The sequence below is a fragment of the Homo sapiens genome, chromosome 19, assembly GCF_000001405.40.
Source record: "Homo sapiens chromosome 19, GRCh38.p14 Primary Assembly".
Classification (NCBI taxonomy): Eukaryota; Metazoa; Chordata; class Mammalia; order Primates; family Hominidae; genus Homo; species Homo sapiens.
Genome location: NC_000019.10, coordinates 55,073,695 through 55,089,595, shown reverse-complemented (window position 1 = coordinate 55,089,595; position 15,901 = coordinate 55,073,695). Strand labels below are relative to the sequence as shown.

The window sequence follows — 15,901 nt, the reverse complement described above, 5'->3', positions numbered from 1 at the left end:
GGAGCTCTGGGTGTCTTTTGGAGCATGGCCATGGCCTGACTTAGGTTTTAACAGGTCCCTCTGGCATGGAGAACAGGCTGGGGGTTGGTGGTGAGGATTGGGGGGACCAGCTAAGGGTCTACTGGTGAAATCCAAGCAAGAGAGAGGGTGGCTCTGGCTGGGGTGATGGGAGTGAAGATGGTGAGAGATGGTCAGGTTCTGAGAATATTGGAAGATACAGCTGCCAGGATGTTCAAACAAGCTGGCCTGTGACGGGGGTAGGGCTGAGGCCCGGCTGGCTCACTTGGGTCTCTTGTCGGGTTCCTGCAGGCATTTCAGTTTGCAGCCTAGGTGGCGAGAGCCACGGGGGCTTATTGGGGGGCGGGGGGCGGGTGCGGGAATGGAGCAAAGAGGTTTGGGGGAATTGCCTACCTTTCCTATTCCCCTACTAAGAATGAGGGGTGGGGCCCCGGGCAAGTGGTAGAGGGGCTGAGAGTATTCTGGGCAGAAGCAACCACATGAACCAAGCTTGGCAGCAGGAGGAGGGAAGCTGAGCCCCGTGGTCGGAGAAGCTGGTGAGCCGAGTGGGCAACCTGTGACTGCCAAGCTGGGGCCTGGTTTTATCCGGTGAGCCATAGGGAGCCAAGGGAAGTATGTGAATAGGATCTAGGGACGGGGCAGATAGGAGAAGGACTCTTGGAGATCCAAAGAGGAAGGAAGGAACCAGAAGGAACCAGGCAGGAGGTGGCAAAGTGGGGACTGAGAACTCCTGCCTGCCCCAAGGGCGGGGGGCGGGGTGGGGGTGGGGGGGCGTCTCTCTGATCCTTTCCCATCTTGGAGGGCGCCATCTGGTGGCCCAGGTTGGAACAACTCCGGGAGAGGCTTGAGGCCCAGAGGCCCAGAGGCCCTCAGTAATCTGGGGAAGGCAGAGCCAGGGGAGAAAGAGAAAGGGCCATTCTTCCCAAAGGCAGAGAATATCCAGTCTGGAAAACAGTGGGATCCAGAGAAAAGCAGACCTTACCAGCCACCTGGATAATGGGGAAAAGAAAGTTACAGGGCTTGCCAGAGGGAGAAGGAGCTAGTTCTTGAGGGATTAGGAAGTTTTCAGTTGGCTGCCATCTCCCAGAACAAAGAGTGGCCAGAAAGCTGTGGCATGCTTGGGAGGCAGCCAGTTCTACCTGGTAGGGCCGTGGCAGGAGGTGGGGGACAAAATGGAGAAGTGGATGCTGGGAAACTAGCTTCGGGGATGAGGGCAGGCTTCCCCACAGTGAGTGTTTGAGCTGGGCCAGGGAGGCTGAACAGGAGTTCGCCAGGCAGGGAATGGCCGTTTCAGCCAGCAGAGACAGCAGGTGCAAACCTCAGAGGTTGAACGCTTGGGAGCGTTTGGAGAAGGGCAGGGCCAGGACGCAGGAAGGAATGAAGTGAGAACGTTGGTGAGGCGGGAAGGGAGACACAAAGCCTCATGCCCAGCAGCCGCGAGCCAGGGAAACGTGAAGGTGGGGCAAGCTGGACTAGGCTGGCTAGGAGGTCAGGAGGGAGCCTGGTTTGGGACCCTGGGGATGGAAAGGAGGGTTCAGAGAGAAACCAAAGAGGGTGGAACATTTTCCAGGTTCCATGAGGCTGTGACTGGGTCGAGGGGCAGGTTTCTGAGCCCCCTGGTAGCCGGGTAGAGGACAGCAGTTGGCACACCATCTGCTAAGCACGGAGGCTGTTTATAGGCTGGGCCGCATATTACAATGCTCAGGGCTCCACTGCACCCTCTCGGGGGTCTGCTAGCGCTTTCCGTAGACTGTCTCCACGCCCTCCCCACTCCCAGCCAGTCCAGATCCTCTCCGGAGGGACTGCAGCAAGGATCGTTAAGTCTGTCCACCGGGATGGGGGAAGACCAGGGCCGGAGCAGATTGGCCATCCTTCAGAAGATCGACTTCCGCTATTGGGGAGAGTCTGAGGAGTCCGTTCTCCCACGGGGCCTCGTCACTCTTTGCGAAGGGCGCCTGGCAGGTCAAATGACCTCCATTTCCACCTCGCCTTCCACCTTCTTCTTTTGCTTCTCCATCACTGCCTCCAGCTCTGACACTTTCTCTTTGTCCTGGAGGGCGGGGTGGAAATCGCTTTGTCCTGGCGTCCGAGCCCTCGTCATCCCAACCCTACCCAGACCCAGGGACCAGCGGTCCGGCTCACCTCCAGCAGCGAGCGCTGCACGGTGACCTGGCTGTACACACGTGCCCCCTCCTCGGGGCTCACCGCCCGCAGCTCCTCCTTCTGCAGCGAGAAAAGCTGCGCCCCGGTCAGCACACCCAGCGCGTCCACGGTCCTGAGCGAGGGCAGCCCGGGCGCGGTCAGGCCGGTCGGCGGATGCCCCAGCCCGGACAATCATGTCACGCCCACCCGGCGATGGTCCAATCAGAACAGCATTCTAGCTCTAGCGGGGGCAGGCCCGACACCTCCTGAACCCCACCCACCAATCACAATGTTGCCACCCGGGGGGCGTGGCCGCATCCTGCTTTCAAAGGGTACGGGATTTCCCTAAGGAATCCAGTCGGAGTCTGAAAAAACATGGCAATCACAGCCTGCCATTGGGTGTTGCTACCAGACAGACCCTCACTTCGGGCTAATCCCGGCTCCCTGTGGTCTCCACGACTGCCGCCCCCCGACTCCCGGCCGATCGGAACGCTCCGCTCCCAGCGTCCGTATCAACCCGCGCCGAGAGGGCCCCGGCCCCACTCACCCGGAGCTAAAGCCCTTGGCCTGCAGCCAGGCGCGGACCTCGGAGGCGTCCGAGCCCGGGCTGAGCTGCGGTTCCGGGGCGCGGGGCCCTGGGACTGCGCGGCTCGGTCCCGAGCGGCCCTGGGCCAGGCGCGCCTGCAGTTCCTCGTTGACGATGAGCATCTGGGAGAATTTCTCTGCAGGCGGGAAACCGGGAGGTAGGGAGTGCGGGCTCAGGGCGAGGGGTCCTGGGGCCAGAGGGCGGGGCGGGGGGGCGCTCCAGCGTCCCCAGAATGGGACGGGAGTCCCTTTGCTCTTTCTGAGCCCCCGTTTCTCTGCCTGGAAAGCAAGGATAAGGACCGCTCCCCGCAGCCGGCGTCCCCACCACTCACCCTTCTCGCTGGGGTCCAAGCCGTTGAGGCTATCGCAGCTGTCCCAGCGGGGCCTGTCCCAGCGGGGCCGAGCCAGAGCTGGAGGTGGGGCCGGGGCTGGGGCTGGTGGTGGAGGAGGAGTGCTGTTCTGAAAGGAAGGAGAGGAGAGTACCTGGGTTAGGGAGAGGACTCAGAGTCCCAGCCTCTCCCCTTTCTGGAGATGCATTTCTGAACCCCCAGTCACCACCTGCTCCAGCACTCTTGACAGCTGATCCCCACGCCCCTTGTTCCCAGGATCTGGTCCCAGCCTCTCCACCCTCAAGATCCCAGCGTCTGCGCTGGCTCACCAGGCTGCGGGCAGGGCTTTGGCTGTGGTGCAGCCGGGGTCCGGGGTAGGGTGTCAGGATGTTGTAGGGCACATATCCCTCCTGCCCCGCTGGGTCCCGAACCTTCCACCACTTACGACTGTCATCCAGGACCTGGGTGTGGTAAAGAACAGAGGGTTCAGAGCCTGTCTGCAGCTAGGGCTGGCTAATTCCTGCCCCTCAGCCTCCCGCTCCTCTAACCTCCAGTACGTCCCGCTGCTTGACCGACAGCTCACTGCTGTTGCGGGCCTGGAAGTCATAATTACACAGGACCCATTTTCCTGCTGTCTCTGACTCCAGCTGAGGCTCAGATTCTGGCTCCAAGTCTCGGTGACTGAGGAGAAGCGGGAGGGTTGGAGATAAGGAGGCAGCCAGCCCCATTGCTCTGGGCTGCAGGGTGCTGGTGTGAGCTGGGGTTAGAGCCAAGCTGGGGGCACAGCAGGGGCCGGGTTAATACTGTTAATAGAAATTTGAAACAAGAATAACAGACTGAATATATTTGCTCCCTCCGTTGCTTGGCATTGTGCTGTAGGCATATGTAGTGGGTACTATCCCACCATCGATTCCATTTTACAGAGGAGAATGAGGCTCAGAGCGAGAAAATGACTTGCCCACATCACACAGCTAGAAACAGCTGTCATTTATTGAGCATCTAATAGGCACTGGGCTTTATATATCATAACTCATAAGCATAATAAAAACACTAGCTAGGCCGGGCGCGGTGGCTCACGCCTGTAATCCCAGCGCTTTGGGAGGCTGAGGCGGGCAGATCATGAGGTCAAGAGATCAAGACCATCCTGGCCAACATGGTGAAACCCTGTCTCTACTAAAAAATACCCAAATTAGCTGGGCGTGGTGGCACGCGCCTGTAGTCCCAGCTATTCTGGAGGCTGAGGCAGGAGAATTGCTTGAACCTGGCAGGCAGAAGTTGCAGTGAGCTGAGATCTCACCACTGCACTCCAGCCTGATGACAGAGTGAGACTGTCTCAAAAAACAATAGCTACCACTTCTGTACCACTTACTGTGTGCTGGGCACTGTTCTGTTACGTATATTAGTTAATTTGATCTTTATGACAACGGTTGGTAGAACCATGAATTTGGACTCCCCTCTCTCCCCCAGTTTCTTCCTCCCCCAGAGACCCTATGATCTCCTCCATTTTCACAGAGGAGGAAGCTGAGGCACAGGGATGTAAAGGTCACAGAGTAAGAGAGTGGCATCGCCAGCCCGGGACCAGGGTAGCCCAGGTCTGAATAATGCTGCCTTAGTTTGCAGGCAGCTGGACTTGAACTTGAACCTGGTCACAGCCTTAAGCCCTTAACTGCTAGTTCCTACAACACCACAGACTTCTCACTGTTCCGGGAACGGATAATCATTATTCCCAGTTTCCCTGCAAAAAAGAACTTGAGGCTCGGAGAAAGTGACTTGAAGCTGTGAACAGGGACCAGGGTTGCGATATCAGGCAGCTGGGGGCAGGGGTGGGATTTCAGCTCTGACCCCCAATAAGAGGGACCTCAGCCTGGATCAGGCCTACCTGTGCAGGGGAGAGGGGGGGTCTTCAGGGCCGCGGCACCCCCTGTGTGGGGCCGGCAGCTCCCAGCACGCTGTCCCTGCTGAGACCCTCTGCTCGGGCCCTCACCCAGACCCCCCTTTGTCTCCTCCAGCCTCACTGCTTTGTTTTCGTCTCCTCCCACGTTGCTTCCCTCCAGTCTGCCCTCTATTTGCTCAAGGACCCTAGAGTTCTAGTCCATCTACCTCCTTCCCTCCCCCAGGACCCAGAGTCTGAGCCCCCACTGCTTGGTAGAACCATGACTTGGAATGTTCTTTCCTCCCCCAGGGACCTAGGAGTCCAGGTCTCAAGCTTCAATCTTATCCTTTTAACCCTCAAACCTTTTAACCCAGTCCGACACCCAGCAGCGACTTAGACAATTGCATTAGAGCCTCTGGAAAACCAAGAGTTTAATCGTCCAGCCTTTACCCCTCTCGGGGGCCCAGAGATACTACCACTTCCTAACTTTCCCAGAAACTTGCCCCCAAGCCCTTGAAGTCCCAAGCCTGCTCCTCTGGGTCTCCAGGATCCCAAGCACCAGACTTGGGCTCTTCTTCAAAACCCAAAGGTCCAATTCCCCAGCCTCTCCCCTCCAATATCCAGGGCTCTGTCCTCCTAGGGAGCCCAGGCATGGTGCTTCCCAGGCCCTGGGAAAACAAACTGGCTTCTTCCAGCCTTTTGGGGATCCAGGGATCCAACCTCTCAGACTTTACCCACTCCCAGCCCCCTTCCTCCCTTAGGCCCAGGAATCCGGGTCTCCATTCCCAACTCCCTTAGCCCCAGAAGTCTGGGTCCCGCCCCCTCCCACCCTGCTCCTCCCTCTCTCCCAGCCCCGGCCCGCCCCATCACCATCTCACCCACCTGAGAAGAGCCAGGAAGACAGAAGGAAAAACACAGAAAAAAAGGGGGCGGAGTCAGCATCGGGAGCCCCCGGGACGCACCCCTCCTTGACCCCCTTGCCCTGCCCTGGGGCGGACACTCACCCATTGACAGCGACCTGGGGGGCGCTTTGCTGTAGGAAGTAAGACAGTCGGGTCAGGCGGGGCCAGGCGGACCGGCCGCGCCCCCGGACTTCCCAGCCTCGGCCCTGCTGTGTCGCTTGGGTCACCTGCCGGCGCCTCCGCTCGTGCTGTAGCTGTTTCTCAACTGGGTCCTCCCAGGCGCGGCTCTGCGGGTCAGTGACCGGCGGCTCCCAGCCGCTGAAGAACTCGGGTCTGTATGGGGGTCCCTCCTCCGGGGACAGCTCCAGCCTGCGGCCAGGGACAGGGCCAAGAGCTCAGGGATCCTGATACAGCCCCCAACTTCGTTCCTGCATTAACTTCACTAAGTTTTCCCCTAAAGCTCGCTGTATTCCAACGATTCTAGCCCCGCCACTTTTCACCAAGTCCTGCCGGTAGCTCTAAGCCCAACTCAACAGCAATTTATATTTCTAGACCGGGCACGGTGGCTCACGCCTGTAATCCCAGCATTTTGGGAGGCCAAGATGGGAGGATCGCTTGAGGCCAGGAGTTCCAGACCAGCCTGGGCAAAATATTGAGACCCCATCCATCTCTCTCTCTGGAAAAAAATTGCCTTATCCAGCCTCTAAATCTCACCTGATTCCAAATCAGGTTTTCCGTAAGGTCGGTTTCAGGTTCTGACCCTTTCCCTGCGGAACTGCCAGCCCGCAGTGCACAGACTCTGTCCCATCACCAAAGTTATAGACCAAACCTTCCAGAAGCCCCGCCCCTTCGCGTAGCCCCGCCCCTGCCCCGTAGCCCCTAGCCCCTCTATTCCTTTAAGCCCCCCTTTTCTTTCAATCCGATTGGTCTGGTGGTCTTAAATCTTTCCTTCACGTTAATTCCTGGCCTTTCCTCCAATTGAATCTTGGCATCTGTCCTAAGCCCCGCCCCAACACAACTAAGCCACGCCTCTAACCCCTCCCTACTCTCCTAGTCCTATTTTCCAATCATCATGCCACCCACCTCCCAGCGCCTTATGCTCCTCCAATCACCATGCCCCCTGCCTCCCAGCCCCGCCCCTCACCCGGGGCGGGTCCACGAGTCCCCCAGCGAGGTCCAGAGCTCGTTTTCACGTGGAGTGACGTTGTCCCGCAGCAGCGCCACGGCATCCGATGTCAGATGCGGCCGCCGCACACTGCTCGCGAACTCCGGCCCCCCCGACGTGTTCACAATCTGTCAGGGGAGCAGGAGGGGCAGGCTGTGCCGCCACACCTTCTACAAGTCGAACCCGATTCCTCCCGCTGCAGGGGGGCCCGAGGGCCTGGGGCGGGTCTCACCATCTGCAGAGGCCCGAAAAGGAAGTGCAACAGCTCCGGAGAGGAGGGGTCGGCGATGTTGCCGCGCAGCCGGGCCTGGGGCGTGGGGAGGGAGGTGGTTGGCGTGGGTGCGGGGACGGGACAGGTTCGTCGTGCCCGCGCCCCGGCCCAGGGGCGGGCGCGTCCTCACCAGCAGGCTGAAGGCGTACTTGATCTTCTGCAGCACGTCGGTGTACTCGGCCTCCGAGGGCGGCTTGGCCCGCAGCGTCAGCAAGCCCTCTGAGGGGAGCAGACGGGCGCGGCGATGGGGACGCGGGGCCAGCACCAGGCAGGCAGAGAGAGGTGGACACCCGGTTAAGATGGCGGTGAGGTCAGCCCTGGCAAGTGGCGGGAGGGGAGAGCCTGGGGAGAGCGGGGACATTTGGAAGAGATCGGGAGGGGGTTCAGATCCCACGCCAGGGTGCCCCTTACCCCCAGCCGCCCGGCGCCGGCTCCTGCGGCCGCGTTCCCGGTGCTCCAGCACCCTGGCCGCCTCCGCCGACTTCTGCAGCCTCGATACAAAGCTCTCTACGTCGTCGAACACGTGGTTCAGGATGTCCTAGGGGACAGAGGAGGGGGACGCTCAGGGCTCCCGAGTTCCAAAACCATCCCCGTCGAAGCCCTGAACCTGAGCACCTATACACTTCCCCAGATCAGGCCACGCCCCAAACACCTGGCCACGCCCCACAACCAAGCCCCGCCCCCGACCCAGCCCCTCTTCCATAACGCAGAAGTCTGACCAGAGAACGCCCGTCCCGCAGCCGGCCCCGCCCTTCCACGCCCTAGCCCCGCCTCCAGTCGCCTGGCCCTGCCCCCAGACCCCTTCCTTAGCGGCTCACCACTTCCCGCTCCGCCTGCAGAACCGCCAGGTCAGGACCCCGGGGACCCAGGTCCGGGGAGGCCGAGTCAGCGTTGCTCGAGGTCCCCACCGGCTCAGGCCTCTGCGCCTCCTCTGCCTCGGGAATGGGCTTCGCCTGGGGTCGTCCGCGGCCCGCGCCCCGCTCTACGGTGCTGATCACTGCGCGGACTGACGGGCGGCGCTGCAGGGGCGGGGTCTCAGCGGCGGGCGAGCGGTCGCGCTGCAACTCCTCCTGCGTGGCCCTGCGGAGGGCGACGGGGACACCAAGACTGGGTCCACTGAGGGGTCCAGGGAGGGGGAAATCCAGGGCGCAGAACGAGACACACAGGCTCAAAAGGCTCAAAGGGAGTGAACAAGTTCAACGAGGTAGGGAGAAATCCGATATACGGAGGGATAGCACCTCTCTAGAGTGAAACTGAGGGCCTGGACAGGGAACAGAGAAAAGAAGCAGAGTTCTGGAGAAGGGGTCAGCTCGTCTGGGAGGTACAGACAAGACTCGACTAGGGTGTGCTTGACTCCATGCAAAACTCTTGTTCTGTTCCAGGCTGGTGTTGTAGACTGAGGCACAAGGAGGGGAAACCGGCTTCCCAGAGACCCTGCCAACTTCTTCCCTCTCACCTGAGCGCCGCCGCCCTGCGCTCCCCGCGGCCCGAGCGGTAATTGTGCAGAGCCCCCTGGATGTCCTCTCGGATCAGCTCCGCCTGCCAATCACACCGTCAGGCCACGCCTCCCCACGCCGCACCCACTTCCTACCCGGGCCTCGCCCCTGGCCGATTTTTCAGCTCAGTCCCAGCCCACGTGCGGCTACCGTTCACACCTGTGAACCCACGCACGTCCACGCCCCGAACTCACCCCTCGCCCTACACCTGTCCCTGCCCTAAGCCACGACCCCGCCCATGGAGACCCAGTCCGGGTGGTTCCTCGCCCCCACCTCGTCCTGGCTGCTCCCCCAGATCCTTCTTGGCCATGTTCTGTTCATGTCCTCATCCCACCTTCATGTTCTATCTTGACCCTGGGTCCAATCTCAAACCCCACTGCCTTCCAGAACTTCCTTCCCAGGTCCCCTGCCCTTCCTTGCTCTGATCCCGCCTTAGCCCCAGGCCCCGCCCCACCTAGAGGCCCCACCCATTTCCGCCCCGGCTCCAGGCTCCGCCCAGTTCCAGCTCCACCCCCAGAGCCAGCCCATCTGCTCACCCCGAGGCGCAGGCCCTGGAAGAAGTGCACGTCGGGCTGCGCGCGCTCGGGTTCCTGGCACACGAGCAGCAGCAACGAGCGGCTCCTGCCGGGTGGCATCACCGCGTCACAGCGCACGATGGCGCCCAGTGGGTACGACTCCAGCTCCTCCTGCCGGGTGGGATGGCGGGGTAAACTGAGGCCCCGAAATGATGGTACTACTAAATGGCGACGGGAGTGTGGGCCAGCAGGTCAGGGCAACCTCAGGCGGTTAGGGGGTTAGGGATAACAGCCCTGTTTAATAGATGAGGCTATTAAGGCTCAAGAAGGGGGCTGGGGTCCCTCGCCAGAGTTCCCAGAGGAAGGACGTGCAGGAGCCAAGATTCACACCCAGACCCCCTGAAGTCCCTGCCCCAGACACTCCTCCCACCCACGTGCCCCCCGGCACCTTGGAGGCCGGGTCGAGCAGCGTGACATGGTCGGGAGACACTCGCAGCAGCATCTCCTGTGCCCAGACTCGGCCCTGGCTATCCATGACGGCCAACTTCCTGGAGGCATCCTCCACGGTATGCACGCCATCGTCCTCACCCAGGCAGAACGTCACCAGGTGCTGGTACGGACCATGGAGAAAGCAGTGAGGCCCAAGATGATGCCAGGTGGGCTCAGAATCCCCCAGAATAATCAGACTTTCAGCCTGAGACTAACCACACCTCCTCCAGGAAGCCTTCCTTGATCACCTGTTCCACAAATCAGCTCCTCCTCCCAGTGCCCTTTGTTTCCCTTTCATCAGAGTGACTAGCACCTGAGTCTGGCTTCTCACAGACTGGAGGCTCCTTGCGGGCAGGGAAGGAGTCTGGATTATAGCTCTCTCCTTCTAAATGCCTCCTCGGGTCTCCTGCCATGCCCCCTGCCACCTCCATTAGAGCACCAGGCGCCTCTGTGGATTCCTCTGGACCTTGTCTACCCCTTCCTCATGCAGGGCTGTGTCTTGATTTGCCTCCGTGGTCCCACTGTCCAGCACAACAGCTGGCCTGGAGGAAAGGCTGGCAGATTAAGTGGACCCGAGGCCCCTGGCTTCATATCCATGACTGAGGTGAGGCAACGGAGGTCCATTTTATGGATGGGCAAACTGACTTTCCACATGCTTCCTGCTTGGGGGCCTAGCTGCTTTCAAAAGCCCTATCTCCTGAGGCCACCTTTGCCCCAGAAGATGTCCTGGGGGAACACAGACCCCAGACTCACATTGACTGGGTACTGGGATACATCAGCCATAACAACTGTGGAGTAACGCTTCCTCTGCTCTGCCAGGGGAGAAAGAGAATGAGCCTGGGAGTCCAGGCCCAGCCCCTCCTCCATCAGACCCAGGAGTCCAGGCCCCCAGCCCCTCCTCCCTCAAACCTAGGAGTCCAGCCCCCCAGCCCCTCTTCCCTCTGACCCAGGAGTCCAGGCCCCCAGCCCCTCCTCCCTCAAACCCAGGAGTCCAGGCCCCCAGCCCCTCTTCCCTCTGACCCAGGAGTCCAGCCCCCCAGCCCCTCCTCCCTCTGACCCAGGAGTCCAGACCCCCAGCCCCTCTTCCCTCTGACCCAGGAGTCCAGGCCCCCAGCCCCTCTTCCCTCTGACCCAGGAGTCCAGGCCCCCAGCCCCTCTTCCCTCTGACCCAGGAGTCCAGCCCCCCAGCCCCTCTTCCCTCTGACTCAGGAGTCCAGACCCCCAGCCCCTCTTCCCTCTGACCCAGGAGTCCAGCCCCCCAGCCCCTCTTCCCTCTGACCCAGGAGTCCAGCCCCCCAGCCCCTCTTCCCTCTGACCCAGGAGTCCAGCCCCCCAGCCCCTCTTCCCTCTGACCCAGGAGTCCAGCCCCCCAGCCCCTCTTCCCTCTGACCCAGGAGTCCAGCCCCCCAGCCCCTCTTCCCTCTGACCCAGGAGTCCAGGCCCCCAGCACCTCTTCCCTCTGACTCAGGAGTCCAGGCCCCCAGCCCCTCCTCCCTCAAACCTAGGAGTCCAGCCCCCCAGCCCCTCTTCCCTCTGACCCAGGAGTCCAGACCCCCAGCACCTCTTCCCTCTGACTCAGGAGTCCAGACCCCCAGCCCCTCCTCCTCCAAGACCCTGGATGCCAGGTCCTGTTTCTTTAGACCCAGTTCTATGGGCCTGGGGCTCCCTTGCCCCCCGCTCACCATAGATAGACTTGGCGCTTGGCTTTGGGGCAGCTTCTGGGCTGGTGAAGAAAAGAGGAATGAGAGAGACTGTGGGACTGGGGGCAGATCCTGTGGAAATGCCAAGCAGGGCAGCAAGGGCTTCATGACGAAGGTAATGGGGAGCGATGGAAGGGTTATTATTATTATTATTATTATTATTATTATTATTATTATTGAGCAGGAGAGCTCAGAGCCAGAGCTGGACTTTAAGAAGACAGGTAGGCTGGGCGCGGTGGCTCACGCCTGTAATCCCAGCACTTTGGGAGGCAGAGGTGGGCGGATCACAAAGTCAAGAGATTGAGACCATCTTGGCCAACATGGTGAAACCCTGTCTCTACTAAAAATACAAAAATTAGCTGGGTGTGGTGGTGGGCGCCTGTAGTGCCAGCTACGTGGGAGGCTGAGGCAGGAGAATCACTTGAACCTGGGAGGCGGAGGTTGCAGTGAGTCCAGATCGTGCCACTGCACTCCAGCCTGGCAGCAGAGTGAGACTCCATCTCAAAAAAAAAAAAAAAAAAAAAAAGACAGGTCAGGTCAGGCGGTGGTGCTGGGTGGTAGGGGAGTGTGATCTCTACCATGGCATAGTCCGGGATTCAAACCCTCTGTCTACTGCCTCCTTGCCATAAGACCTTCAGAAGAGGATTTAATCTCTCCTGCCTCAGTTTTTCTTTCTGTAACGTAGTAACCATCTGGTAGGGCTGTTGGGCAAATTCAGTCAGATGATGCAGGTGAAGTATTTTGAAGCCTCAATAACTGTTATTATCATTCTTAAGATGCTGCCAGGGCTTAGCACACAGAAGTTGCTCAATAAATGGGAATGGTTATAATAGCATTAGTGGTATCTGAAGTAGACAGGGAATTATCTGCTTCCCCTCCCACTCCCATGGGCCAGGTGCTTCCCAACCACATCCTTCTCTGTCTCCTCCCGTCCTCAATTTCTTCCTAAGATTACCTTTCCTAAGAATTCTTGAATCCCCACTTGCATGCACATAACAGAAGCTCAGCGATCAGGTGGCGTCAGGGGAACTGAAAAACCCTTTTTCCCAAACTCCTGTTCCTCATCCTGCTCCTGCCAGTCTGATGTCACCACAATTTGATTACCTCTGGGCCAGAGAGCTCACTACCTACCATGCAGGTATTTTGACTCATCTCTCATTGTTTTTCTCCCTGCTTACTCTGGGGGACTTGAGTCTTCATTATAAACAGCCCTGATTTTCTAGCAAAGGGTTAATATTTACTAACAACATAACAATCGCAATAGCGACTCCTATGAGTTGAGCACCTGCTGTCAGTGAGGTGGTCAGCTAAGTCCTGTAATGCACTATCCCTCCAATTTTTCAACATTGTCCCTGTGTCACAGAGGAGGGGCTGAGGCTCCAGGAGGTGATGTCCTCTGACCAGGGTTACATCAGCACTGAGTGTGAGGGCCGAACTGGAGCTCAGGCCTGTCTGCTCTGCAGTGGGGGCCCCTAACCCCAGGCTGGGCAGGGAGGAGAGAGGCTCTGGCTTCCTCCTGAGTGTCGGGGCTTGGGCCAGAGTCTGGGCCGCCGCAAACAGTCTGGGCTGCCGCAAGCGGGTGTGGGTGAGGAGGCGAGGGGAGGCGGGAGGCGTGCTGGGGCTGGGACCTGGGGTCCGGGGGCGCTTACCCTGTGGCGGTGCTCATGGTGCTGAGTGGTAGCTCCTGCCCACCTGGAGGTGCCCTGGGAGCCAGCAAACATGTGAAGGCCTGGCCAGTAGGAGCCTCTAATTCCTACCCCAGCCTCCTCCCTCAATGCAGGCATCCAGGCCCCAGCCCCTCCTCCCTCAGGCCCAGGAGTCCAGGCCCCCAGCCCCTCCTCCCTCAGACCCAGAAGTCCAGGCCCCAGTCCCTCTTCCCTAGACCCAGGAGTCCAGACCCCAGTCCCCTCCTCCCTCAGACCCAGGAGTCCAGACCCCAGTCCACTCCTCCCTCAGACCCAGGAGTCCAGGCCCCATCTCCTCCTCCCTCAGACCCAGGAGTCCAGGCCCTCAGCCCCTCCTCCCTCAGACCTAGGAGTCCAGGACCCCAGGCCCTCCTCCCTCAGACCCGGGAGTTCAGACCCCCAGCCCGTCCTCCCTGAGACCCTGGAGTCCAGACCCCAGTCCCCCCGTCCCTCAGACCCATTGGTCAAGCCCCGGCCCCCTTCTCTCCTGACCCGGATCTCCTTACCTGCCTGCTCAGGCTCTGCCCTGCTCTCCGCTGTCCTTTCCCTTCCAGGCTGCCGGCCCCTCCTCCTGCTCCCTCCCAGGGCCGTCCTGCCTCCGCCTCCGCCTCCGCATACCTGAGCATTCACCTGGCACAGCCTGGCTGGAGTGACCCCGGGGCGGGGCTGGCAGACAGATCTAGGAGGGGCTGGGGGGACTGCAGGGGAGCTGGGAAACTAACTGTCTGCCTTGTAGCAACAGAATAATAGCAACGAACAGTACATTTGATGTCACACTTGTTCACAGGTCAGAGTTGAAAGCTCTGTCTTTAAAACTCCCTTGAAATTCTAACAGCGGGAGGAAGTTCGAGGTTTGATTCCTGCTTGACAGATGAGGAAGCTGAAGGCCAGAGAGGTTGAGCAACTTGTCCATTTCAGCACTTGGTTAAGGAGGGATTTGAACCCGGGGCTGACCTTCTGTCTCCAGGGCCAGTGGCAGCCCGTCTTCTATGGACACCTCCTGCCCACGATCACTGCCTCTGCTCATGCCCTTACCTCCCCACCCATCCCGTTCCACCTTCCTTTGGAAATTTCCCTCAATGACCCCCCTATTCTGACAAAAGCTAAGATTTAGCTCGATAATGCCTGGCCCAGCTCCAAGGACATCACAAAAATGAACAGGCTTTCCAGGCATAAACACCTTTCTGAAATCACTTTTCCAGAACTCCCTCCATGCTGTAGAGGTTACTAGCAAAGCTTTCCACATCATTTCTCCCCAGAGCCCCGTGAGGGGAGTGTGTCTGGGTGGGAGGCTGTCTTCGTCTCACAGATGAGAAAATGAGGAAGAGAAGGGTTAAGAAACTTGCATGGGTACAGTGGCTCACATCTCTAATCCCAGCACTTTGGGAGGCCGAGGCAGGCAGATCACCTGAGGACAGGAGTTCGAGACCAGCCCAGCCAACATGGTGAAACCCCATCTGTACTAAAAACACAAAAATTATCCAGGTGTGGTGGCGGGTGCCTGTAATCCCAGCTACTCAGGAGGCTGAGGCAGGAAAATCACTTGAACCCGGGAGGCAGAGGTTGCGGCGAGCCGATAATTGCACCACTGCACTCCAGCCTAGGCAAGAGAGCGAGGCTCCATCTCAAAAAACAGAAAACAGGCCGGGCGCAGTGGCTCACACCTGTAATCCCAGCACTTTGGGAGGCCGAGGCGGGTGGAACACGAGGTCAGGAGATCGAGACCATCCTGGCTAACACGGTGAAACCCCGTCTCTACTAAAAATACAAACAATTAGCCGGGCGTGGTGGTGGGCACCTGTAGTCCCAGCTACTCGGGAGGCTGAGGCAGGAGAATGGCGTGAACCTGGAAGGCGGAGCTTGCAGTGAGCCGAGATTGCGCCATTGCACTCCAGCCTGGGCGACAGAGCGAGACTCTGTCTCAAAAAAGAAGAAAAAAAAAAAGCTGACATCTTGCAAGGCCTTAAGGGACGTGATTCTGATCTCATCTCTTCCTTCTGTGTGTCAGCACACTGGCCTCCTTGCTGCTCTTGGAACATCCAGACCCGGTCCTGCCTCAGGGCCTTTGCACTTGCTGTTTCCTCTGCCTGGAATGCTCTTCTACCAGATACCCTCATGCCTCACTTTCTTGCCTCCTTTGATCTTTGCCTGAATGTCACCTTCTCAGAGGACTGGCTGACCACCCTGTTTCAAATGGCGGCATCCCTTACTCGACTTCTTTTGTTTTTTTTGAGACAGAGTTTCACTCTTGTTGCCCAGGCTGGAGTGCAGTGGCGCAATCTTGGCTCACCGCAACCTCCGCCCCCCCAGGTTCAAGTGATTCTCCTGCCTCAGCCTCCTGAGTAGCTGGGACTACAGGCGCGCGCCACCACGCCCGGCTAATTTTGTACTTTTAGTAGAGACAGCATTTCACCATGTTGGCCAGGATGGTCTCGATCTCTTGACCTCGTGATCTGCCCGCCTCGGCCTCCCAAAGTGCTGGGATTATGGGTGTGAGCCACCGCCCCCGGCAACCCAACTTCTTTGTAGTCTCTTTCCTCTCTCCCTACTTCATTTTTGTGTGGAGAACTTTTCACCTTCTTACCCACTGTGTTCCTGGTTCATTTTGTCTGTGTCTCCTCCGTTAGAATGCAAGCTTCACAGGCTGGGCACGGTGGCACATGCCTGTAATCCCAGCACTTTGGGAGGCTGAGGCGGATTGATCACTTGAGGTTGGGAGTTCGAGACCAAC

The 15,901-nt window shown here is 59.2% G+C and overlaps 1 protein-coding gene across 8 annotated transcripts, besides 3 other annotated features; it reads right to left on the bottom strand.

Annotated features, from left to right (window-relative positions):
• Positions 701 to 995: an enhancer, noted in NCBI's record as "tiled region #11471; K562 Activating DNase unmatched - State 8:EnhW". NCBI's record gives its function as "activates a minimal TATA promoter and a strong SV40 promoter by Sharpr-MPRA in K562 cells {active_cell/tissue: K562}" and the evidence as "EXISTENCE:reporter gene assay evidence [ECO:0000049][PMID:27701403]".
• On the bottom strand, positions 1,673 to 13,727 carry EPS8L1 (EPS8 signaling adaptor L1). Of its 8 annotated transcripts, NM_133180.3 has the most exons (20): positions 13,677 to 13,727; positions 13,135 to 13,188; positions 11,468 to 11,508; positions 10,539 to 10,597; positions 9,745 to 9,906; positions 9,318 to 9,467; positions 8,742 to 8,824; positions 8,104 to 8,365; positions 7,697 to 7,823; positions 7,416 to 7,504; positions 7,247 to 7,321; positions 6,994 to 7,142; positions 6,077 to 6,218; positions 5,952 to 5,980; positions 3,623 to 3,755; positions 3,404 to 3,535; positions 3,078 to 3,204; positions 2,708 to 2,882; positions 2,161 to 2,293; positions 1,673 to 2,068 (listed from the first exon to the last, which is right to left on the bottom strand). In NM_133180.3, exons 2-20 carry the CDS (start codon positions 13,149 to 13,151, stop codon positions 1,982 to 1,984), a joined length of 2,172 nt encoding a protein of 723 aa, NP_573441.2. In that variant the 5' UTR covers positions 13,152 to 13,188; positions 13,677 to 13,727; the 3' UTR covers positions 1,673 to 1,981. The 8 variants fall into 8 exon arrangements, with proteins under 8 accessions (NP_573441.2, XP_047294978.1, XP_005259077.1 ...); XM_047439022.1 differs by having other exon boundaries at positions 13,135 to 13,727; XM_005259020.3 differs by having other exon boundaries at positions 5,952 to 6,218.
• Positions 8,342 to 9,299: an enhancer, noted in NCBI's record as "H3K27ac-H3K4me1 hESC enhancer chr19:55591665-55592622 (GRCh37/hg19 assembly coordinates)". NCBI's record gives its function as "activates a minimal SCP1, AML or CMV promoter by ChIP-STARR-seq in naive H9 embryonic stem cells {active_cell/tissue: H9 hESC(naive)}" and the evidence as "EXISTENCE:reporter gene assay evidence [ECO:0000049][PMID:30033119]".
• Positions 12,548 to 13,273: an enhancer, noted in NCBI's record as "H3K4me1 hESC enhancer chr19:55587691-55588416 (GRCh37/hg19 assembly coordinates)". NCBI's record gives its function as "activates a minimal SCP1, AML or CMV promoter by ChIP-STARR-seq in primed H9 embryonic stem cells {active_cell/tissue: H9 hESC(primed)}" and the evidence as "EXISTENCE:reporter gene assay evidence [ECO:0000049][PMID:30033119]".

Excerpts from the sequence above, each read along its gene's own strand:
- EPS8L1 (XM_005259020.3), bottom strand. Across the intron at positions 7,505-7,696 it reads CCGGCGCCGGGCGGCTGGGG|AGGGCTTGCTGACGCTGCGG; the intron begins GTAAGGGGCACC and ends TGCTCCCCTCAG. Across the intron at positions 3,756-5,951 it reads CCCCAGGTCGCTGTCAATGG|TCACCGAGACTTGGAGCCAG; the intron begins GTGAGTGTCCGC and ends GCTTCTCCTCAG.